Source organism: Homo sapiens, chromosome 4 (assembly GCF_000001405.40).
Source record: "Homo sapiens chromosome 4, GRCh38.p14 Primary Assembly".
NCBI classification, from domain to species: domain Eukaryota; kingdom Metazoa; phylum Chordata; class Mammalia; order Primates; family Hominidae; genus Homo; species Homo sapiens.
Genome location: NC_000004.12, coordinates 86,579,091 through 86,604,665, shown reverse-complemented (window position 1 = coordinate 86,604,665; position 25,575 = coordinate 86,579,091). Strand labels below are relative to the sequence as shown.

Sequence of the window (25,575 nt, the reverse complement as noted above, 5' to 3'; positions counted from 1 at the left end):
GTATTTTTTTCTATCAATTTCTGTATTTTTCACATATTCAAGGGGACATGGCGGATTTACCTATTTTGTTTCCTTTAAAATGTCAACCATTTTAGTCTTAAAGTAGCTTATATGTAGCTACTGTACCTAAAAAGATCTTACATATAAAACAATCTGATAACCAAAGCAATAGCAGTGGCCTAATCAAACCAATGTAAACTAAAGAGGCTAAAATCTGAGTGATAAAGAGATGCTTTTATCTCAGCATTATTAATCAGATTTATTAGGTTACTATTTCTCTCAGTAACACAATTGAAGAGGGAAGTAAAGGTAAACAATTCCTGTAAACAGAATCAGTAGGCTATGCCCAATCATTTTATATGTGTATAATTCAGGAATAAAGCTTACAAAACCTTTTGAGATATATATTATTATTTGCATTTTACAGATCAGAAATAGATTAAATTTATCCAAAGTCATTCTAATTACTAAAAGAGCTAAAACTCAAACCGAGGACTACCCAAATTCAATGTGTTTGCTCTTTCTATTATACTGTGCTTCCTAATTTAGGTCTGAACATGAATAAACAAGTCATAACACTACCTGAATTCAGTTTTCACAAAAGCTAAACACTTAAGAATGAATATAAGTAGACATTAATTTTGTCTTGTTAAAAGGTTAACAATAACTCAATTTAGTATTTCAATAGTGGGTCAAATATTGATTTTTTAATTATATAAATTAATCATATTATTACAAATAATTAAATGTCAAACAATGCAAAGCACAAAAGTACCAAATGATCTTAATGGCCATGAACTAGTCTCCCTGAAGAGTAAATCCAGTTTCTTAAATATCCACTAGGTCGAGGTACTTTATTAGCATCATCTGAGTGATGCTAATTATCTGAGTTCATGCTGAATAAATCAATTTATTGGCAGGATATATTGCAGAGAATAGCTGTGAAGACAAAATGACATGTAAAACATATAATGTAATGACTCATTTTATATAGTTAAAAAAGGGAACTGGGTATAAGAGATGCTAAGAGATGTGTTATGAATTCTGTAGTTAATAAATGAAAAATTATACATACCATATCATCTTTGGAATTCATAACATACATTAGAGCATATTTAAAGTTCTGTGAGAAATACCAAATAATTTTTAACAGAAAAGCTATTAAAAGCATGCACAATATCAGCTAGGAAATGTGACCACAAACACTTTCTAAAGAATTTTAGGTTATATTACACAGTACTTAGCCTCAGAAGCATAGCAACATAAGATTCACAAATATTAAGTAATAATTCTGTGTGAGACTGTGAACATGTACATTTTAACAAACTACAATTTATATATCTGACAGTGTCACCTTTCTAAATAGACACTTCAGAAGGGTAAACAAGGACAAGTTATCAAAAATATTTTTGGAATCTTCTTTTCTAATTATGTTTAGATATTTTTAAAATATTCATTTTACTTTATACTCCATTTTTCATTTTAATTCAAATTATACTTCTTATCACTCACCTTTCTAAAACATGAAAAAATATATTATTTAATTAAATCAAACCTACTCTCAAAGAAGAGATATACCACCAAAAAGGATGTTTAAAACAATATGCCATATGTCCTAAAAGTGATTCCTAAACAGGAAATACAGTGTTCTAAACATGAGTAGTTTGAGGCCAGGCATGGCAGCTCATCCTGTAATCCCAACACCTTAAGAGGCTGAGGCAGGAGGATCGCTTGAGTCCAGTAGTTTGAGACCAGCCTGCGCAACATAAGGAGACCCCATTTCTACAAATAAATACAAATAAAATTAGCCAGGTGTGTGTGGCAGCAGGTGCCTGTAATCCAAGTGCTTTGCGGGGCTGAAGTAGGAGGATCAGTTGAGCATGGGAGGTTGAAGTGCTGCAGTAACCTGTGATTGGGTCACTACACTCCAGCCTGAGTGACTGAGACCTTGTCTCAAAAAAAAAAAAAAAATCAGAAAAATAATTATAGTAGTTTGAAAAGGATGACATTCATTTCACAAGTTCTAGTAAGTGTGTAAAAATCTGGCACACATCACATGTATCAACAAGCCCAAGCGATGACTGGAAGGAACATGTGGCCCAAGGAACAAAGTAGGCCTATAAACTTTGAAACAAGAAACCATATTTAAGTTCATATATTACCTGTACCGTGTTAAAAAAACTGTTATAAATCAAATATAAGTATACTAAAAATAATAATAGCTAATATTTATTAAACACATAGTATGTATTAAGCACTATTCTAAGTGCTTTTCATGTATTAACTCATTTGGTTCTCACAACAATCCCATAAAGTAGGCTTGGTTATCATCCTCATTTTGAAGATGAGGAAAATAAAGTACAGCAAGGTTAAGTAACTTGGGCAAGGTCACAGAGCTTGTAAACCATAGAGTCAGATCAAAACCCAGGCATTCTGGCTCCTAGTCTATGCTTTAAATACCATACTATACTGTTTCTCTAAATCAAACAGGAGTGGTCAACACCATGCACAGCAACATCTAAAAACAAATCACCTGTATATATATTCAGATAGGTACCCACATGTTTGCTAAGTTTTACAAGGCAATTTACATGTTATTTAATATTATCTTCACAGCCACTCTGTACAATACATCCTGCCAATAGATTGATTTATTCAGCATGAACTCAGATGATTAAAGCTATGTGGCCTCAGACTATTCCCCTAAGTTGCCTGTCTTGGAAATGTGTCTTCTCTATGCACCACCAGTGCCTAGTAGAGTGTCTGGCAAAGAATAGGAATCAATGAATAAGGAACAATTAAAAAGGGAACTAGGTATACAAATGTTGGATAAGCCCAGATTTATCATTACAGATTCATCTAGAAAAATCCTCAAACATTGTGGCTCACAGACAGTGATTCTTAAGTATCCCCGCGGTGGAAGAACAGCAGTATTCATTTTTTCAATTGAATGTTAGTATCTCAATACAATCTTAAAATCCCTTTGAAGTTAGAAAGTTTGATGTACTAACATAAACCTGAAAAAGATTCAGGTGAAATCTTACCTTAAAAACAGAGCTCAATTTGGTCTTCACACAATCAGTGTGATATATTATGTAACCATATTAAAATATTTTCTTTTGTTCAAAAATTGAAGGAAATTTCTATTAAATATTAAGTTTTAATATTAGAGAATAATATATTCTAAATTTTTCACTGTAACTCTAAGAATTATATGCCACAAACTGTGAACATAGGGGAATATGTTAAATTATAACTGAAGTTACAGTATCTCTGGGTACTATGTAATAACACATATCCTGTTTTTCATTTCTATACTACTTAAGGCAGTGCCAGAATTTAAGCTCCAATGGAACTCAAGTAAATGGTATAGCTACAATAGTTTTATCTGGTGTAGATTTGATAACCGAACATTCCCAAACTAAAGTTTCTATTATATTATCATAGTGATTTTTTATTTAATTTTTAGGTTTTTGTTTTAAACCACCTGTCCCAGCTTTCATGAAGTACAGCTACAAAAATACATTTCAGTCTTGGTAAATTTTCATAGAGTACTAGAAAATTCACATATGTTATACATTGCTTTAAGCTCATTCCTTGAACCAGGCAGAGAAATCAGCATCAAAATAAAATTAGAACAGATTGTGTAAAGAATGAATTTAATCAATATGGTGTTCAAATAATTTCATGAAATTACATCTCAGCTAAAGTCAGAAATATAAAAGACACTGACAAGGGAATTTATCATTAAAAACTGAAACTTCTGTTCTAAAATACTAATTATTTTTGCTTCAAAAACTGAATTACATTATATGTTCCAGAAGAAATATTTAACTACACTAAGACCTAAAATAATCATCCCCTAAATAATTTAAATGTTTATTTTTAAAATTACACTTTTTTAGAAGAAGCAAAAATACTTAAATAGTGCTAAAAGAAGTTTTTAAAATTCCCAGGCTGTATCTTTCCTCAAAAAACAAAACAGAACACAACTTTGAATATCTTTAACACAATCTCAGGTTATATAATCATTCTAACCTTAAGTTCAACAAGAATGTTTCATTTTTGTTCCACAGACTCTATTACAACTAAGTGGGGAAGCATTAAAACATGAAACTGATATCGTACACAAAACATTCCATCAAGCATTCTTTCAACAATATAACTCCCAGTGTTCTGTAGGCAAATCTACCTGATCAGAATAGGTAAAAAAAAAAAAAAAAAAAAAAAAAAGTGGTTATGTAAAAAAAAAAAATACCATCTACCAAGAAGGAATATTTTTAATTGAAATTAATTATTGTTCCTACTCTACTCAGAGCATACTAAACCAATAAAACTTTGATTAGGAAACATCTTTTCTAGGTGTGTAAGGAGGGGGTATAGGATGAACCACACAGCAGTTTCTTGTAAGCTGTGCATCAGTAGTTACCAAGTGGCAAATACCATTAAGTTTGATGACACAGTCTTAGCTTCCAAACATTGGGAATTCTTTAGGAATCTCATTTTTTTCAAGGAAATGCCTTCCCCTATAAGAAAAAAATTTTCTCTCACACCTTTATGCTCATGTTAAAACTAATAAAACAGTTTTCTGTTGAAAGCTCAATCACATCATTTGATAACTCAGAATTTCTGTATGCAAAAGAAAAAGGATCTTTAGCAAAAAGGAAAACTTTTAATCAAATCCTAACATTTGTGTTGAAATGATGACTATTTTCAGTATTTTGGGACATCACATTTCCAGACCTGAAACTTGCAGTACACAAGGGCAATTAAGCCATTAGTTAGGTTTAGAGCATACTGATATAAGTAATAAAAACAAGGACACTAAATTTCCTCTTCTCAGTTAACTTTGAAAAGAAAAACCTTTAACTAGGTACAAAAGACTGAGGAAAGAGGAAATGTATAAAAAATGTGGTATTTCTCCTGACTTTAAAAAAAGTAACTTTAAAAAATAACACAATATATTTTTAAATTATAAATCTGAAGGAAATAACAGGAATTATATATATGCCATTTCAGATGATAAGAAACATACACAAATTTCAAAACCTCTAAGCAGTACAGGACTTTCTGTGATGAGGAAATGTTCTATATCTGAGCTGTTTGCTACAGTAGCTAGTAGCTGCAAGTGGCTCCTGAGCACTTAAAATATGGCTAGTTGTAATAAGCAGAATTTTAAATTGTATCTAATTTTAATTAATTAAAATATAAATTTACATACCATATATGGCCAGGGAAACTACATTTGACAGTACAGCTCTAGGGAAATATTTGTACCTTAAATTCTCATCCAAATAGTAAAAAGGCCTGTAGATAGGCATATACATAGATGCTTCTGAGACATTTTTGTGTTTTAAATTCTTAAGATTTATATAGAAAAAATACATAAATATAAAATATAATCCAACACAAAAAATGTTGCTGCATTTATGGGAACCAAATTTTCTACACTCTATTCTAGTAGAGTCTAGAACATTGGTTCCAAAGTTGACTATGGTTTCTTAAGGAGTTTCTAAAAATACAGATGCCAGGGTCTCATCCACAATGATTCTGGTTTAATAGTCTGAGTTGAGGCCGGGGCATGGAGATTATTAAAAGCTATCCAGACCAGGTGCAGTGGCTCACATCTGTAATCCCCGTGCTTTGGGAGGCCAAGGAGGGACAACTGCTTTAGGCCAGGGAGTTTAAGACCAGGCTGGGTAACATAGGAAGACCATTATCTCTACAAAAAATAAAAAATTAGCTGGATAGCGCGCACCTGCAGTATCAGTTATTCAGGATGCTGAGGCGGAGGGATCACTTGAGCCCAGCAATTTAAAGTTGCAGTGAGCTATGATCACACCACTGTATTCTAGCCTGGGTGACAGAGTGAGATCTTGTCTCTTAAAAAAAAATTAAAAAACTTAAAAAAGCTATCCAGGTGATTCTAAGGTACAGGCAGAGTTGAATACTACTAAACTAGGAGGAAAAAAAAGAAACTGTTTATTAAGCACAGATGAAGTATGCAACAAAAGACATTTATTGGCTAGTAGGTAAAGAGGGCCTTTTCACCAGCCAGATTCAAGTTACACATTCAAGAATGATTTGAGTAGTTATAGGTTTTTGTGATTATTTAATTTTTTAAAGAAAATTGGCAAGGAAGGAAGCAAACTAAATACTGTCAGCTTGCACTTAAACCACATTTGCACATATTAATTTCATCCTCAAAATACCTTGAGAGGGACCAGGCACGGTGGCTCACGCCTGTAATCCCAGCACTTTGGGAGGCTGAGGCAGGCCGATCGCTTGAGGTCAGGAGTTCAAGACCAGACTGGCCAACATGGCAAAACCTCGTCTCTACTAAAAATATAGAAATTAGCCAGGTGTGGTAGCACACGCCTGTAATCCCAGCTTACTAAGGAGGCTGAGGCAGGAGAATTGCTTGAACCCAGGATCGGGGGCAGAGGTTGCAGTGAGACAAGATTGTGCCACTGTATTCCAGCCTGGGCGAGATTCCATCTTAAAAAAAAAAAAAGCACAACAAAGCAAAAAAGCCTTGAGAAGTATATATTATTAAATTATTAAAAATAAACTTAGTCTCTAGGATTTGGATACATATTTGTCAGACAGCAGTCCTCCACACTTTTTATACTATGCAGAAGGATTTTCTTTGAGACAGTTTGTTTCAGAGAATTTTCATACTTTTCCAGTGTGAAAACAAATCAAAACAAAACAAAAATTAAAAAAGCAGGATTCAATGGCAGAGCACAGGATAAGGCAAACACATCTAAACAAGCACTTGAACCAGACCCTGTTCCTGTATTTCCCATGCATTTGATAGCAAACTCTGGGAAAAACATGTGAAGTTTATGGTTTAAATCTACACCAGCCTCTATACAAGATTATTTAGGAATTCTTCTCTTTTTATCCTAAGAAATGGCCCACCTACTGCCTTACTATTAGTGACAGTCACACATTCTTGGGAACAGGGTTGGGCAGGATAGAGCAGGGTGCTTATTCACAGTGCCTGACACTAAACAAGAATAAGGGTCTTAAAGGTGTTTTCATTTTCTTCCCAAACTCAAAGGATTATTAGAACTCCACCTCCCAAAGCAGTTTACAGACGGGAGTTTTGATGGGACATTTACAGCTAGTATGAAACTTTCAACTTTAACTTAAGCCATTAAAAGTCCTACATTAATGTACTCATTAAAAGCTATCTTTTAGCCTTGGTCAATACAGCGAGACATTGTCTCTATTTAAAAAAATAAAATAAACAAAATTAGCTAGGTGTGGTGTTGTACACCTGTGGTACCTGCTACTTTGGGGGCTGAGTTAGGAGGATTGCTTGAGCCTGGTAAGTTGAGGCAGCAGTGAGCCATGATCGAGCCACTGCATTCCAAACTGGGCAACAGAGACCCTATCTTAAAAGCTATCTTTAAAACATTTAGTTCCTAAGTTATTTGACCCATTTTAATTTTCAAATTAAAAGAGAGTTTTTCAGGGAAAAAAAAAAAAAAGGAAGCCCAGCCCAAAAGATTCTCGTCATTTCCATCAGCACTGATTCTTCTATCCTAAGGCCCATTATCTTTTCTCCTTTCTCAGGCCCCTACCTTGTAAAGTGATATTAACTCAAATGAGTCGTACTTGGTTGCATCAGAGGCAAACAGGAGAATACTTTGAACTACACAGAGTTCTCCCAAAGCATATTCCAAAACAAGAATATGTTGACAGGAGTAACTACTAAATGCACTGGCTTGGAGTATGGTTGTGTTTCTTTTTCATTTCAAATGGTGTTAATTATAATTTAATTATGCATAAAAATGTTTTGGGGTTTATTTAAAAATTACACCCTCTGTCAAAAGAAGAGGGTGAAGAGGAAAAAAAAGAAGTAATAGTTTATCCCTTACAGTCCTTCTCTCCAGTACATTTGGGGCTGGGCACTAAGATGAGCTGGAAAAATATACACCCCATTGATACGGGAGAAGCTACAACACTTCCCCATCCAATCCTTAACACATTAAAGACAGAACAAATCAACACCCGTTTTTCTCAATAACAAAGAATACATAAATTTCATTCATTTAAAGATGAACACCTATCATTTATATTATCTACTCCAAAACAAATGATTAGCTAATTCTCACATTCACATACCGTATTTAGGAGGCAGCCCTCAAAAACAACAACAAAAAGATGACCTAAGTTTTATAACGTGACCCCATCATAGAATTAAAATCTGACTTTTAAATTGACACTGGTTTTAATGGTGTGCGTGTATGTTACTTGTGACATGAAAAGCCATTTATATTTTTGGATGCTGGTAATCACCCTCCAAAATATAACTAGGCTTTACATGCAAGTAAAAATGGTGGGACAAATGCAAATTCAAAGATAAACCTACATAATGGTAAAGCAAGCTATCATTCTCTAATTGTAAAAGTGAAAAACACTATGAAATCAGTCCTTTTCTTAACAACTAACCTCAAATATTTTTCTGTTTTTAGTTCTAATTTCCATCCTATCCTCTCCCCACACATACTCCCACAAAGCCTCTAGAACATCAAGTAGAACACAATGTTATGAACAAAGTATAATAAACAAGATTGGACGTCAGTCAGTGCGCCTCTGTATAAATTTACTAAATCAATATATGTATGAATTTACTAACAAATGCTCCTAGTGATATTAAAACGAGAAATAATTTGTATATTGGCACCACTACAAGCAGCCAATGAGCATGAAGCAAGTTTTCACCTGGACCCTGCCAACACAGTCATGAAGACTTTAGGAAAATACCTAAGCTTGTTTCATAATACATGCACTTTTACTCCCCCCCCCATCCTTTAGTAAACTTTCTAGATATAAATTTTAAAATCTTAAAATTTATAATTAGTTACCAGCGCCCTTCATCCCACAGATCAGGTGTCCTACATTTTGTTCAGGTCCTGCCTTGAAAACAAACCCGATTGCCCCATTTTCTGCGAGGGAGCTCAGCTCCAGGCAGCTCCCTATGAAGTCACCGCGTTTGTTGTTTCAAAGATGCAATTAAATGAAAATGACACAAGGCTGTCGAACAGATTAGTTGGAAGTGTGCGGTGGTGTCGATCATATACGTGTATGGCCAATGAAAACTGTATTGCTGTAAATCTCTTAGTGATATTTCTCCCCATCCTCCTCTCTCCATTATATTCACAACAGAAGGAAATTAAACTTTGTAAGAATTTTCTTGACTTTGGTTTAACTTTAGCTTCCCAGCTGTCTGCTCTTACAGTATCACGTAATGAGCAAAGCGGTGGGGCTAGGGGGCCGGAGGGTAGAGTGTTAACTTTAGCAAGCAGAAGAAAAGCAATAAAAGACCTTGCATCAGACAGTGTCTCTCCCTCTGCCCCCTCTTCCTCTGCTTCCCCGCCATCCCACCCCCTTCTCGAGCCCTTACACACACATTCTTCTGGGCGGCCTCTAACCACACCATCTCCACAATCATTTGCAGAAATTAGAAACAGACTCCGGGAGCCCTTCCCTTAAGCACGCACAGAGCGGAGCTGTGCAAGCACGACGGGGCAATGTCACTCCCTATTACCCCACAATCTCTTACTCCCCCTGTGGGTTTCATTCCCGAGAATCCGGCTTTCTTCCGCAGAGGAGATGGATCTACCTAATTAGCAATGGAGTTTCATCTCATTCTTCCCCACTCCAGTCACCCCACCCCCACTCTAACGTACAAAAACACCCACCACCAAAACCAAAGAAAAGTTCCTTCTACCAGGGCAACCGAGGAGTTGGGTTTAGGGACTGGAGCGAAAGCAGAGAGAGGAGGAAGAGAACGAGCGCAATGTACTTTGTTTTGCACTTCTGCACATGCAGCGCAGAGCCCAGGGCGGCTCTCGTCCTTACCGGCTGGTCCCGAGACCGGGTCCTGCTACTGGAGCGCCGGGCGAGGGCTGCAGGGACGCGGCGTCGGGGCGGGCCGCCGGCAGCCGCCGCGGGCGCCGAGAGCCACCACCACTTCTCCCACAAGCGGCTGCGGGCGTGGGCTGAAGGAGCTGTAGAAGGAGCCTGGGGAGGGGGAGAAGAGGAGCAGCATCTCCTCCTCCTCCTCCTCGCCTCGGAAACGCTCCCCAGCGGCGATCCCGGCCGACTGCCTGACCCCCGAGCGCTCAACGCACCCCCGCCGCCCTACTGTGCTCGACGCCTCTCCAAGAGCTTCGCCAAAACCTTCTGGCGCGGGCGGCTCAACTCCTGTAGGCGACTCTGACCGCTGCCGAGGCGGACCGGGGAGCTACGGAGCACGGCTCGCCAGCACGACGGTCTCCAGGGGCCGTGAGCATGGTGTGTCACCCTCGCCTCAGCGTGGCCGCTGGAGCTACTCGCACCACTGGGGCTCCACCTCGGGCAGCCGCGCCGGCTCCGCCCCCCCGGTCCTGTCACTCAACCATTCCCCGGCACTGGGAGGACCGCAGATCTCCCACCCCGAGCTCCCCTCGACCTCATTGGCCCGCCTGGCATCCAGCTCCACCTCCTCCCTAGGGACGAGGTCGCCAGGGAGACCAGCGCCCCGGTTGCCATGACAACCAGTGCCTTGGGCCTGGCTTTTCGCGTTCTTCGGACTAGCCAGAGGCTCAGGTTGGTGACCGAGCGGCAGAGTTCCTAGCGCCTGCAGTGTGGTGAACTCCAACTTTTAGGCCAAGTTGAAAATGCAGCCGACGACCCCCACACTTCTAACTTCAGAATCAAAACTATGACCCTAGGGAGTGAGGAGGAGAGTGAAAAATGCGTAAGTGCTGGCTCCTCCCTTACTCTTCGCTGCCTCTCAGCCTTGTTTCTATATTCTCACGGGGCGCTTTGGTCTTTGAAAGGAAGAGGAGAATGGGGGAGAGGAAGAGCATGGCTTTGCCAGCTCCTTGCAGCAATATAGCAACTTAGAAATGGCGGGGTCAACGAAAAAAGCCCGGTGAGTTTTCCCACGGTTGTAAAGCTATCTTCAAAAGTGTGGTGACAGCACAACGCCAAATGCCCTAGGGAAAACTGAAATTCTCATATTTTTGAAAAAAGTTTGTAAATACTTGCCTTGTTATTTTATCTATGAGACTAAAATAATCCCGAAGTTTGAAAATTTAAGGAAAAGGTTTAACATAGTCGATAACCTCCCACTTTTCTATATACACTGAAATTTGGCCAAGGTATATCCAGACAGCTGTACCCCTCCTTGCTGCAAGCCGAAATATTTGAGTTTCAATAGTTAAACAAGAGAGTCTTGCTGAATTCATGAACAAATAATATCCTGTGATTTGAGTTTTGAAAGTTTTGGGTTATTCTCAGAGGTATAAGGTAAACTGGTCCACTCTGGAAAGGGTACCTGAAGATAAATTTAGTCTGAGACCCTTAATGTTGAGCCCTAGGTAAATCTGAATTTCATGGCTGGCTCCAAAGTGGAGAGATCTGAGGCTTATTTGGCTTCCCCAAAAAAAGTCAAAGCAGCAATCCTAGGTTCCCTAGCCCCTGAGGCTGCCATACATGTATGATGAATGAGGGAATTAATAGTAATGATTTATCTTTGGCGAGCACTTGAGTTTTCATTATATCATTTACTAAATGAATAACTATGATAGATATCTTCAGTCAAATATGCCTTACAAGTATGCATTGAATGTGATTACTCATAGGGCTAAACACAACGGAAAATACACAGCAGGATTTTAAGCTAAGTCCCCGCTCCCAAGGAGCTAACCTGGAGCCTAAGAAAGAAAACTAGCACTCTTGAAACAATTTGAGAACAATTATAGCTAAAATGTGCAGCCAAACTTTGAGTAGGTAGCAGCTAAGAGAAAGTTTGCTATGTAAAATGGGCTGGATTCCTCAGTTTATGGAAGAGGGGAATTTACACTGGGCTTTGATGAATGCAGCAAAGATGAGGAAAGTCAGTTGAGGGGAACAACAAAAACTAAACAGCAGCAGCAGGGATAAGTGGTGAAAGTAAATAACAGGCCAGGCTCCTTGGATGGGAAACACAAGTGGATGATTGGAGCCCTTTTCTCAGTTCTTCCCCCATTTTTAAATGTTCTGGATCATCTATCAGGGAGGTAGGAAAGGCAGGTTGGGAAGAACAGAAACTTTCATGAAACATCTGTCTCTGTTTGCCTCTGAAAGAAAGTTCATGTATTTATTGGAAAGAAAAGCAATATCCTTAATTAATGGCTGCAATAGCTTGTGGATTCACATCAGAAAGAAGGTATAGCAAGTATAGTGTTGTAAATTTCCGCAAAAGTAGACAAACCACAGTGTTGTTAGCTTTTTTCCTTTTCTTTTTCTTCTTCGTGTTTTTTTTTTTATTAAGGCCATTTCAGGTGGTTGCCCTCAAGGCATTTTCACCAGTAATCCCTCTGTTTTGGATGAGCTGAAAGACTGGTTTTAAAATACAATCTGTTAAAAAGTACACACAAGGGAAATCTACAGGTTAAATTCCTTTTGGATATAATGTAAAAGTCAATACTAACAAATGGAACCCAGCACTACATTACAAATAATATAACAAAATTAAGAGAAATTATTTCATGTGTATAGTTATGGCAATAGTTCAATAACAGAAAATTTTCTCATATGCTTGATTATATTAGTAAGTCAAAGGAGGAAAACATTATGAGGATCTCAGTTGATGCTGAAAAGGATTTTGTAAAGTCCAGCATCATTCCCAATAAAAATTAGAATTTGTAATAATTTAAATATATATATATGTTATACTAAAGCCAGCCACTTCCTTTATAACATAACATCATAATTATTCCTATTGAAGTCAAGTACAAGGCAAGAATGTTCACCATCACATTGTAACAATAGAAACGATAGCCAATGCAATTAGATATAAAATAGAAATAAGAAATTAAGTACTGTAAATAAGTCAGGGTTGTCATTTGTTTGCAAATAATATGAAAACTCCAAAGCATCAACTGAAAAGCTTTTAGAGGCAATAAAAGATAAATTAAGATAACTAGTTATAAAATTAACATACGGGGGGTGGGGCACAGTGGCTTATGCCTGTAATGCCAACACTCTGGGAGGCTGAAGTGGACAGATCACTTGAGTCCAGGAGTTCAATACCAGTCTGGGCAACATGGTGAAACCCTTTCTCTACAAACAATAAAAAAGTTAGCCAAGCATGGTGGGATGCACCTGTAGTCCCAGGTACTCTGGAGGCTGAGGTGGGAGGATTGCTTGAGGCCAGGATGTCGAGGCTGAAGTGAGCCATGATCCCACCACTGCACTACAGCCTGGGCAACAGAGTGAGATCCTGTCTCAAAAATAACAATAATAATAATAATAAAAAAACATATGAAAATCAAGAGCTTTCTCATGTATTATCATAACCAATTTGAAAATACAATATAAAAAGAATCCATCCCACTTACAGTAGCCACAGAAATTTAAGTAGCTAAAAATAAACACTAAAATAAATTTATAAAACTGGCTGGGCATGGTGGCTCACGCCTGTAATCCTAGCACTTTAGAAGGCCAAGGCAGGAGGGCTGTTTGAGCCTGGGAATTCAAGACCAGCCTGGGTAACATAGCAAGACCCCATCTTTATTTAAAAAAAATAAATACATACATAATGTAAAATATAAACAAAAGTTATAAGACATACTTTAAAAATGATATAATTTGTAGTGGACTATGATTGTGCCTATGATTAGCCACTGCATGCTAGCTTGGGCAACACAGCAAGATCCCTTCTCTAAAAAAAATTTTAGAATCATGACAGACTTATGAGAAATAACAATGTTTGAAATAAAAAAGCAATCTTCTTTTAAATTAAATACCAAGGTTGAAAGAATGTATAATTATCTTTTAAAAGTAAGTTATATATCCAGTATAATTTTTTGGGTTTTTTATTGTTGTTTTTTTTTGAGACACGGTCTTGCTCTGTTACCCAGGCTGGAGTGTAGTAGTGTGGTCACAGCTCACTGCAGCCTCAACCTCCTATGCTCAAGCTATCCTCCTGCCTCAGCCTCCCAAGTAGCTAGGACTACAGGTGCACACCACCATGCCCAGCTAATTTTTTAAAAAAGTTTTGTAGAGAGGGGTCTTGCTATGTTGCCCAGATTAGTCTCAAACTCCTGGGCTCAAGCAATCCTCCCTCCTTGGCCTCCCAAATTGCTGGGATTACAGGTGTGACCCACCACACCCAGCCTATCCAGTATAATTCTAATCAAATGTCCAACAGGATACTTTTAGGAATTTGATAAAATGATTTAAAAATTCATTTGGAAGAGTGCCATTCAAAAATAAGAAGAGTCTTAAAAAGAAAATAAATGAGTGGGAGTTACATAAAAAATATTAAAATAAAGTATAAATTAGAATGATTAGCAGCAGGCTCAAGCAGTCAACTAGGTACAGGCAAAGGGCGGGATGATGTGTATCATTCAGGTTACGGTGTTGAGAAACCTAGTTATTTCTTGTGTATCTTTTCAGACACACACACCTAAATATCCTTTTCCAAAGGATATTACTCATCTAGTATATTGATTTTTTAACTTCATAATATGTATTTTATTTCTGTTATCAGATGCTTTAGATGAGCCTAGTTCTTTTGAAAGGCTGTGTAGTATTCTCTTGCTTAGATGTAGCATAATTTATTTAACTCCTCACTTTTCAATGAGCATATACGTTATTTCCAAGTCTTTGCTATTCCCTTTTTTTTTTTTTTTTAAGATGGAGTCTTGCTCTGTAGCCCAGGCTGGAGTGCAGTGGCGCGATCTCGGCTCACTGCAAGCTCTGCCTGCCGGGTTCACGCCATTCTCCTGCCTCAGCCTCCCGAGTAGCTGGGACTATAGGCGCCTGCCACCATGCCCAGCTAATTTTTTGTATTTTTAGTAGAGACGGGGTTTCAAGTTGAAATATATCTCTTTGTAAACGATTCTGGCTTACATGTGGTGTACATCTGTAGGTTTAGCTTCTAGAAGTAAAATTGCTAGATTAAAGAACATTTTACTTTACTTTTTTTTTTTTTGAGACGGAGTTTTGCTCTTGTCACACTGGCTGGAGTGCAATGGCGCAATCTCGTCTCACTACAACCTCCGCCTCCTGGGTTCAAGCGATTCTCCTGCCTCAGCCTCCCGAATAGCTGGGATTACAGGCACAAGCCACCACGCCCGGCTAATTTTTGTATTTTTAGTAGAGATGGGGTTTCACCATGTTGGCCAGGCTGGTCTCCAACTCCTGACCTCAGGTGATCCACCCGCCTCGGCCTCCGAAAGTGCTGGGATTACAGGCGTTGGACCATTGTGCCCGCTCACATTTTACATTTTGATAGACAAAACCGGGCTGCCTTCCAGATAAGTGGTACAAGTTCCAGTCATCCTAACAAAGACGGAAAGTTTGATAGCATACTGTGTTTCCCCACATCTTCACCAATACAGCATTATCAAACTGTTTTTATCTTTCCCAGTCTAATAGATGTAAAATGATATCTCATTACAGTTATAATTTTCTATTCTATTTGAGGATATTTTTCTCTGCTTAAAAGCCATTTTTTTTTCTGTTACCAAAAATATTCTCCCATATTTTCTTTTAAAATTTTTATGGCTTTGTTTTTCACATTTTATTCTTTCATCCATATGGAATTTATTTTGGTGGTAGCAGCAGCGACCCCTTTGTCCCCACATCTTTACCTAATAATTCAGCTTTCCCCCCACAGAAACGAAATCCTCTCTGTATCATATTCAAATTCCTGTATGTTCTAGGATCTACCCTTAAGCTCTTTTCTGTTTAATAACATTTAGATTTCCATATAAAAATCTGAGTCATAACATACTAGAAGGAGGTATGAGTGAATTTATTTAGAGCATTTGAGTCTTGTTTCTACACGTGATAAAAACCAAAAACTTAAAATAATTTGTACATTTTACTACATAAAATATAATAAAAAGTTTCTGTAAGTAATAGAAAGATCATAGGTTAGTTTATTCCATTTGGAAGTACAATTTCAATGTCTTTCACAATTTATGTTTGTATCCTTTAATTTATTCTACTTCAGAAATTTATCCTACATATATTTATATACATGACCAGATATGTGATCAAGGATATTCATTGCCTTATTGTTGATAGTTATAAAATCAAAAACAAAATAAATGTCCATGCTAACAGAATGATTAAACTCTGGTAAACCAATATATATGATCTAGCAACAGAATCAAGTTGCCATATAGTATGATCTGATTTCTGTTTAAAAATACCTATATCTATAAATATATATGGAGATATTTTTCTGTTAACTGTTTGAGGATTATAATTACGGAAAACATTGCATTTCTGAAATTAAAAAAAATCTTTACAACCATATGTTACTTTTGTTATAAAAGATCCACATCATTTATTGCTGCTACTACTAAGGAAATTAGAAAGCTGGCCATAATAAATATTGGCCTTTAAGTGGCATATGGGTTGTTCATCACTTTGGGACCGTACTCATGACACACTCTAACTCAAGAATATTTTATGTTGGACCCATGAACAACCACATAATGGAGCCCCCAGACTGTATTCCAGTATTTTATGTTGGACCCATGGACAACCACATAATGGAGCCCCCAGACTGTATTCCAGGTATGTGTGATTGTGCTTTTTTCTAGGGAAAATGTCCATACTTTTTTTCTCCTTTTAAAAGATGGGTCTTGCTCTCTTGCTCAGGCTGGAGTGCAGTGGCTATTCACAGGCACAGCCATACTACACAGCGGCCTCAAACTCCTGGGCTCAAGTGAATCTACAGCCTCAGCCTACCAAGTAGCTGGGACTAGAGGCACGCATTGCCACACCCAGCTTCATCCATAATTTTTTGACAAATTCACAAAGGGGTCTATATCTCTCCAAAGTGTTAAGAGTGTGTGTTTTAAATGCCAGTGATTTTTAAATGCCACCTTTTACCTCAAAGGCTGAAATGAATTCTGGGCTAATCTAAATCTGTAAATAGCAATGTTTTCCCAGCTGGCTTCTTGTGTTCATCTCAATGTGAAATATTTGCATTCTGGCTTGTACCAACTATGTTAGTGTTTTTCCCTACTTTAAGCCCAGGAGCATATTATCCTTTCTTGCTTACAGAGTAAGAGCTGTGATGGGAACGTTGCCCAGGTGAGAAGCAGAAGCAAGATAAGTAATCCACTAAAACATGAGCAGATAATTGAAGCACAAATTCTGACAGTGCTTAAGGAAGACTTTGTGAGGCAATACTAACACTTCCAAGTGAACCAAGAATTAGCTGGGGAAAAAAAATGCAGTGATAGAAACCAGATAGGACTAGAATTACCTTCAGGTCCATTGAATACAAAAGTTATTTTCTTTTGGTAGTAGCTGAACGCTCTTTAAAATTTGAGAATTCCCCTAGGATGCAGAGTCACATGACAGAAATGACAGAGATAACTAAACACTGGGACAAAGTACATTGAAAAGAACACAGCGTTTGCACTCAGAAAACCTAAGTACAAATCTTGGCAAGCCACTTAACTTCTTTGAGTATCTTCCTCATTTGTAAAGTGAAGGAAATAAGAATAGCGAATATGTTCCACACATGATAGCCTGTAATGTTTTTTCAATATTCAGCAGGAGCAAATACAATATATGCATGAAAACTGTAAGCTTTAGGCCACTATTTTTTAAAGCCAAACAACAAAAAGCTTTACAGGTTTTTGGAATTGCTGGATATTTTAGGCTTGAGATAATTTTTGGACTTAATTTTTTCGTTCTGAAGAGAAACTTTGGAAAATATTTACAGGCACCAGGACTCGCTAGATCTATGAAATACTAAGACAGAAAAATTTAATTGTGGTGCTCCTGTAACTTCCACTTTTCTTTGCAAATGAACTTCTTTTGTATATTTAGCTTATTTCCCGTTTTCCCCTACTGGCCCCAAACTGACCAGGGCTAGTCAGTTACACTTATTAGAGCTGGCTACACCATAAAAGCAACCATCTATTCTTACTTGATTTTCCAGGTGCTTCAAGGCTCTACCCGAACCAAAACATTTCCCTCACCTAAATTTTTTGGCTAGAAATTCTCACTTTTAGTTATTAATGAGTTAAACTGCAAAGGTTTTATCTTTAGAAAGTCATAGTTAAAATTCACTTTATTTTCTAGCTTTCTCTCTTCACACGTTAATGTGGATTGGTTTATCAGATTAGTTAGTTGTCATTTTAAACCCTAAAGGAGAGAGATACTGGAGCTGCAAATTCAAATTAACGAAGGGGAAGTAGGAAAGAGGGGAAGCCAGTTTCGATGATGAGTGAAAGACAGAGAGAGGAATTTGGTGGGGGAGAGGTATGTGGTATGAGGGTGGCCCTCGGGGCTGATGATACCAAGGGAGGGGATCAAGGAAGTATATGTAGTACTAAAGGGGTGTGGCACTGAAGTCAAACTGCCTAATTCACAATTTTTACTAGGGTTGGTCCTGTCTCTGACTCATTTCTACTACTTGTCCTGGCAAGTTATGTAACTGCCTATTCAGTTTGGTTGAAGGGAATATGGCAAATAAGCATAACCCTTCTGTATTTTTGAAACTTAGCCATGTTAGAACATATACTAAGTAATTTAATGTGAATATGCTCTAATCCTGACCCACAGGGACTTGCCTTAGGGTTCATGGCTGCTAATCTTGATTTGTAAAAGTGTTCCCAGAAATGAAGACCAAGACAGAAGTTAAGCTTTCTAGTTTATCTTCTGTCTTAAAGAGTGTGATTTCATATTGTCTGATGGGAGTGAGCTGCTGTGCAAGAAAATTGATAATTAAAGGCTTTGTTAGGTGGAATTAGAGCATTTAATTTAAACAGGCATCACTTGAAAATAATTTTTTTAAGTCGATTGTCTTGATTTTTACATCTCCCCCTATAATGTCTAGTAGAAAACTTAGGAGGAAAATGGTCATATCTACAGAGACTAGTTATTAATCTAGAGCCAAACCCAGACTTACGATATTCATATTAAAAGGGGAACCTGCCACATTCAACAACATGAAGAGGGGAAATTTGTCTTAGAGAGCTGAAACGATTAGGATGAGTAGTTCTTCAGCTATTCTAAAAAGTTAAAGTAGAGAACTATAAAATATTATACATATATGATGTAAGCATTATATTTTCACTAAAAACCTACCGTTATGCATTCATTAGCCAGTCTTTGGATGCTGGGCCAAGGCCTTTTGACCATCGATCTACTGTTGGGAGTTCTAGATTGTCTTATTTACATAAACACTTTCCATAATGCAAAACCAACAGTTTTTTGTTTTAGTTTTTGTTAAAGGGAACATATAGCTTGAGGACACTTGTGAAACAATGAGTTTAGAATGCTTCCATTAAATATATTTTTGTAATATATTCCAGTTTTCTTGCCCATAGTAATTTGTGGCAATGATTTGTCTTTCCATAGCATTCAATTTCATTTTTAAAAAATGAAGAGAGATTACTACTGCATACAGAGTCTTGGAGTGTGGAGGGGGAAATAAGACTTTTTACCCTTCTAATGATATGGTTATTACGGTATACCATTAATATGAACCTAAAGAAGTATAAACTCTACTGCCTTTAATCAAAGAATATACTCCAGTTACTCGGCTTTCAATAAGCATTCTCTTGCTTTCTTGTTTGAATAATCTTCCTTTCTCCGGTCCAGTTCTCTTAATGGGAAAGTCTTCTCAATAGCAGCTTGAATTGGATTAAAAGTTGGATAAAAGTGTTAGATAAAAGTCCTGGATTGGATATTATTGAGCTACTGTCTTGGACTTTTAATCCAAGACTTTTATTGGATAAAAGTCTTCTCAATAGCAGCTTCAAGCTTCTCTTCACCAATAGCAGCTTGAATTGGGTGAAGAGTTAAAGTATCTGTTAACCAAAAATCACCTTCTTCATAACCCTGTCAGTTTGTCTACAAACTAGATTCCAGTTACATTAATAATGCAAATTTAGGCCAGGCAAGGTGGATCACACTTGTAAACTCAGCACTTTGGGAGGCTAAGTGGGAGGATCACTTGAACCCAGGAGTTTGAGATCAGCCTGGGCAACAGCCTGTAGACCCCATCTCTACAAAAAATTTTAAAAATTAGTCAGGTGTAGTGGTGTGCACCTATAGTCCCAGCAACTTGGGAGGCTGAGATGGGAGGATTGCTTGAGCCTGGAAGGTGGAGGCTTCTGTGATCTGTGATGGTGCCACTGCACTCCAGCCTGGTGACAGAGTGAGACCCTCTCGTAGGAACTCCATACTCCCCAAAATTTCTTACCACTCCCAATATTTCCAGGATTTTTCAAGACATATTAATATATGCTCTGTAAACTTCCTTTGTTTTTCCACTTAGACCTCCTAAAAGTTTAATACCTGAGTGTCACTTACTGTAGAGTTTCCTGACACGTCTGCTGCTGCTTATACCCTCTGTGACAGAATTAATCTTGATGTTGTAGGGATTGTCTCTCAGTGATTCCCAAACTGCCTACCAAAGAGCTAGAGCTGGGCTGGGCTTAACTGCAGAAGTGAGGCCACCACTGTGCCATACTTTGTCAGTTGGTTCTTGAAGCAGCACCAGTTGGGTTCACTATATCACAAAGTCTCTAATAAAATTAACTATTTTATATGGATTATCACCCTACATACACCCATGCATGCACACACACAGACATACACACACTCACACACATTCATACATTCATTACCTGTCTTTTAACCAAAAGTAAAACACATCTATGCATAAATTCATTCACCAGCCCTTTCTTTGAGAAATCACCAGCCCTTTCTTTCAGCAAATAGCTAGACTCTGATAATCAGGATATTACAAGGGGGTGGAAGGTGGGTACCTCAATTTAGATAAGATAAAAGATATCTTTTATTTAAAGCACTGTTACCTACTTTGGGCATGTGATCATATTTTTCTCAGAATATGAACTCTTTTAGGGCAGTGCATCAGAAAGACTATTGGCCCCAAGTAACAGAGTATCTGATAAGCAGTGGCTTAAACAGAAAGGGTTATTTTCTCACATTAGAAACCAGGTAATAGGCAACTGCTTCTGACAGTGCAGTAGCTCAACAATATCCAATCCAGGATCACTGCAATTATCTTTACCTTCCTCTTAAAGTCATAACAGGACTGCAGCAATTCCACACATTCGATCCTCTTTCAAGACCGAAAAAGAATGATGGAAAACTGCGTTTTTTTAATGTAGAAAAACTGACTTTCCCCCAAAAGACTTCTCTCTAGTATTCTTTCACCTACATATTGATGGCCGGAATTATGTCTTATGACCACTTCTGATTGCAAGGAAAGCAAGGAAGCAAGTACATAGCTTTTCTAGCTTCTAGAAAAGGTAGGCATGAGATGAAGGGATTGAAAATATATGGGGGCCAGGCGTGGTGACTCACGCCTGTAATCCCAGCACTTTGGGAGGCCGAGGCGGGCAGATCACAAGGCCAGGCAATCGAGACCATCCTGGCTGATACAGTGAAACCACGTCTCTACTAAAAATACAAAAAAAAAGAAAAGAAAATATATGTTAGTTTACTTAGGTAACTGTACTACCTAAGTAAACTACTTAGGTACTTTAGGTACTGTACTACATGGGGGTACTACAGACAGAGTTAGTGTTCACTGGGTGGTGAGGGTAGGGTGAACAGGTTATTTGGATGTAGTAACAATAAGTTTTTCCATCAATCACTAATTAAATAAGAAAGATCTTTATGAGCTATTTCAATTTAACAAAAAATTTTAAATGATTATTTGGTTTTTGAATAATACAATAATATTTTCATAAAATAATATGTTAATTTTATTTATATCACCTAATTATATTAATAACACATTCAAATATAACCACAGTAGTAAGATAAAAATATAAATTATCAACTAAAATGCAAAAATCTTATAAAAGATTAAATTTTATGTAAAGTATCATTGTTTTCTCAGCTACTATAGAAAGTGTCCTATCAAATTACCAGTCTTTGAGGGCTCATTGGTTTAGTTCCCAATTCCTGTTTGACAGTCATCAGTGCCAGGCCACTGCCTCTCTCTTTTCCCACAGTGTCGTTTGTGTAAGTGGTTTTTTTAGATGACATAGATGATTATTTCAGTCTTGCTCTAGTTATAGATTAAGCCAAGTAAATGGAATAGCTTTAAGGAAAAGGAGGCCTGTTTTGGGAGGGCAAAGAGCCAAGGTAGTTATTTGATATGATCATGAATAAAGATAAGGTTCGTATAATTTTGGTAAAATCAAGGTTCTAAGTTTATATTTGCAAGATATGTGCAAAAACCCTTGCTTGATTTTGTCTGTTTCAAACTACTATAGTAATCACTTTCTAAATAGCATGTATTTATATTAGTAATATGGTATCTAGTACTTGGAAATTATGCTAATTTTATACTGAACTTATAACAAAGTAAACAAAAACGTATTAGCAAATTTGCCTTGTACTTACAAATTTCTTCTTCTCAAAAGGGATTTTTAATTTTGAAAGAGTTAGAGATTACATTTGGCTTACTTTTTCTGTTTTCCTAAATGCGTTTTATATTTGCTGTTACTTTCACTTTTACAGATTACAAACAATAAACGATTTCTTGTACTTTTGAAGACAAAGAAAAAAGCCTGTAGATTCAGTATGAAGCTCCTGAGAATTCCTATTACACTTGGCACCTGATAAATGATATTTTAACAAAAAATAAGTTCCTGTTTGGACATCAGTTGTGCAAACCACTTGATTCACATGCCTCTGCAGTATTAGAATATATATATATATATATATATATATATATATATATATATATATATATAATATATATAGCTTAAAGTGTTTTACTAATTTCCAGAAACTTATCAGTGCCAGCAAATAACACATAAGAACATACAGCTCAGTTGGTGTGTCCAATTAATAATGTTTTTAAAAATTGATAGTCTATTCAAAGATACATAGAGGTTGTATAAAGAATTTAGAGTTCTTATACTTCATCTTCACCAAAATAACACACACACACACACACACACACACACACACACAATAACTGAAAAAAAAAGATAGCTTAGTTATACAAAACAACCAGAATAAATATAACAAATTTCTTTAAATAGAACACCTGCTGGGGAAATGTGGCATGATTGAAATATCATCGATTGCATTTTGACAACATGCTTACCATTTTTCTTTGTTATTTTTGTGCTTGTGAACATATATAATTTTGAAGAATCTCGACTTAATTTTATTACAGCACTAATATAATTTGTATTTGACATTTTTATTATATTTCTAGTAACACATTACTAATTTCAACCTTTAGAAGGTTGCATTGCTTTGCCTATGGTAGTTATTCAATAGATATTGAATTTACTTTTATTATTTTATATGTGTTGAAATTATTTCTCTTCCTGTTTTAGGGAATAGAGCTGATCTTTCCATTTTTTTCTGTATTTTTTTTTTTAAATTTCAGACAAGGGTATGTCCATATGCCATAAGAAAGTCAAATAGACATGGTGCAAAACCCTCTGATTGTCTGCTAGTACAATTCTAGCAGTTCTGGCAATAAGTTGAATCCATAAAATGCAAAGTAATTTTTCACTTGAAATAGAAGACAGGAAACTAATTTAATATGTACCCAAAAGATAATATTCATTTAGAATTGAAGCAAAACACCATTTATTCAAAGACAACTGACTATAAAATAGGATTCTCCTGTGGCATTAGGGTAGGCTTTGCACTCTGGGAGAATCTTGGAAGGGCCACAGAGAAACTCTCACCTTCCTTTGATTTCACAACTCCAGGTCAAATCAGGCTGTTTATCCGCAGGAAGTAGAGATATGTTGGGGTTAACTTGGTGTACAGTTGTCATGTGTTACATTTTTCTTTCTCTCCTCTACCAACTCCACATTCTGAGCTCCATTCAAAGAAATGTGTGTCCACATGAGTTATCCATGTTGCATGGAGTAGAAGGGAGGGTTTATTTATACAATCTCAAGCCCCTTAGCTCCCATTAAAATCTTGCTAGAAAAAAATTGATTTCAATGTGATTATTTAGGTTTTTAGCATTTGAAAAATGATCTTTGACTATCTCAGGATTTTTTTAAATAGAGAAATTAAAATATTTGATAAAGTTGCATATTTAAAATTTAGAAGTACAGAAAATGATGCAAAATTAAGGCAAAGTAAGAACATTAAGACCACTGATTTACTTTTTTTTTTCTGAGGTGGAGTCTCGCTCTGTCGCACAGGCTGGAATGCAGTGGCCTGATCTCAGCTCACTGCAACCTCTGCCTCCTGGCTTCAAGCAATTCTCCTGCCTCAGCCTCCCAAGTAGCTGGGACTACAGATGTACGCCACCATGCCCGGCTAATTTTTGTATGTTTAGTAGGAGCGGGGTTTTGCCATGTTGATCAGGCTGATCTCAAACTCCTGACCTCAAGTGATCCACTCACCTTGGTCTCCCAAAGTGCTGGGATTACAGGTGTGAGCCACAGCGTCCGGCCAACTTTTATACAAAGGGTATTTAGTCTAATTATTAATTTGTTTCCAAACATACTGCTTGCTAAAGTACACTTTTTCTTTAAGTTGGCTTAACTAGTAACTCATAAAAACAGGCCACGGACGGTGTCTCACACTGGTAATCCCAGCACTTTGGGAGGCAGGAGGATCACTTGAAATCCAGAGTTCAAGAGCAACCTGGGCAACACAGCAAGACCTCTATCTACAAAAAATAAAAATAATTAGTCCGTGTGGTGGCAGGCATTTGTAGTCCCAACTACTTGGGAGGCTGAGGTGGGAGGATCACTTGAGCCTAGGAGTTTGAGGTTACAGTGAGCTGTGATCGTGCCAATGCACTCCAGCCTGGGTGACAGAGCAAGACCCTGTCTCTTAAAAAGAAAAATCTAAAACATAGAAAACATACATCTGATTTTAAAAATATTTTTCTTTTAGTGTATCTGAGAAGTGAAAAACTTAAAAATTGTCCAGTAATTATTATGGTGGTTAATATTTTTAATGGAAATATAATCTCTGGAATTAAATTTTCTCAGTTGTTAAATGATAAGTATCTTCAAGGTGGCCAGACTTTGCTATATTAAATTGTATCCCAAAACATTTTATGTGAAATAAAGCAAGACATAGAAGAGTGCATATGGGAAATATAAGAAAGTGTGTGTGTGTGTGTGTGTGTGTGTGTGTGTGTGTATACACATATCCATATTTGCTTGTATTTATATAAAGAATTACTGAGAGGATTCAGACTATAAAAATGGTTATTTGTAGAGAACTGGGAAGAATGAGGTAAATGTGCATGGCAGCAGGTTCAAGACTTCTTACTGTATGCTGATATCTTTTACTTTTTGAAACATGTGAAATTACCTAGTCAGAAAAAACAAAAGAAAACAAAAAGTACCTTAAACAGAAAGAGAAACACCTGAGAAAGGAAAATGGAGATGTGGGTAAGGAAACAGAGATAGGAAAGTTTCTTGTAGATGGCTTCTGTTTTCTCTGAGGCTAAGGAGTGGGATAATCTGCTGATCCAATGTACTGCTGTAGTAGTAACATAAACTTTGTATCTTTCTTCCTATCTTTGCCGTATATCCTGTTGAATTAAAGATACATTCTCACTGG

General features: G+C 37.0%; 2 protein-coding genes across 29 annotated transcripts in view, besides 1 other annotated feature; one reads left to right on the top strand and one right to left on the bottom strand.

Annotated features, from left to right (window-relative positions):
- PTPN13 (protein tyrosine phosphatase non-receptor type 13) overlaps positions 1-10,351 on the bottom strand; it is a 220,847-nt gene extending 210,496 nt beyond the window's left edge. For 23 of the 24 annotated variants that reach the window (XM_011532165.3, NM_080685.3, XM_017008511.3 and 20 more), the window contains exon 1: positions 9,877-10,351. The gene's annotated coding sequence lies outside the window, so the exon portion shown is untranslated. Of the gene's footprint in view, positions 1-775; positions 4,207-9,876 lie in introns of those variants that run through there. The other variant, XM_047416036.1, reaches the window with a different exon arrangement.
- Positions 10,114-10,700: an enhancer, noted in NCBI's record as "H3K27ac hESC enhancer chr4:87515119-87515705 (GRCh37/hg19 assembly coordinates)". NCBI's record gives its function as "activates a minimal SCP1, AML or CMV promoter by ChIP-STARR-seq in primed H9 embryonic stem cells {active_cell/tissue: H9 hESC(primed)}" and the evidence as "EXISTENCE:reporter gene assay evidence [ECO:0000049][PMID:30033119]".
- The window catches only part of MAPK10 (mitogen-activated protein kinase 10), a 583,670-nt gene continuing 568,686 nt past the window's right edge, over positions 10,592-25,575 (top strand). For all 5 annotated transcript variants that reach the window (XM_047415964.1, XM_047415966.1, XM_047415967.1 and 2 more), the window contains exon 1: positions 10,592-10,756. In XM_047415964.1, coding sequence (XP_047271920.1) covers positions 10,721-10,756 — 36 coding nt within the window. In that variant the 5' untranslated portion in view covers positions 10,592-10,720. The remainder of the gene's footprint in view (positions 10,757-25,575) is intronic.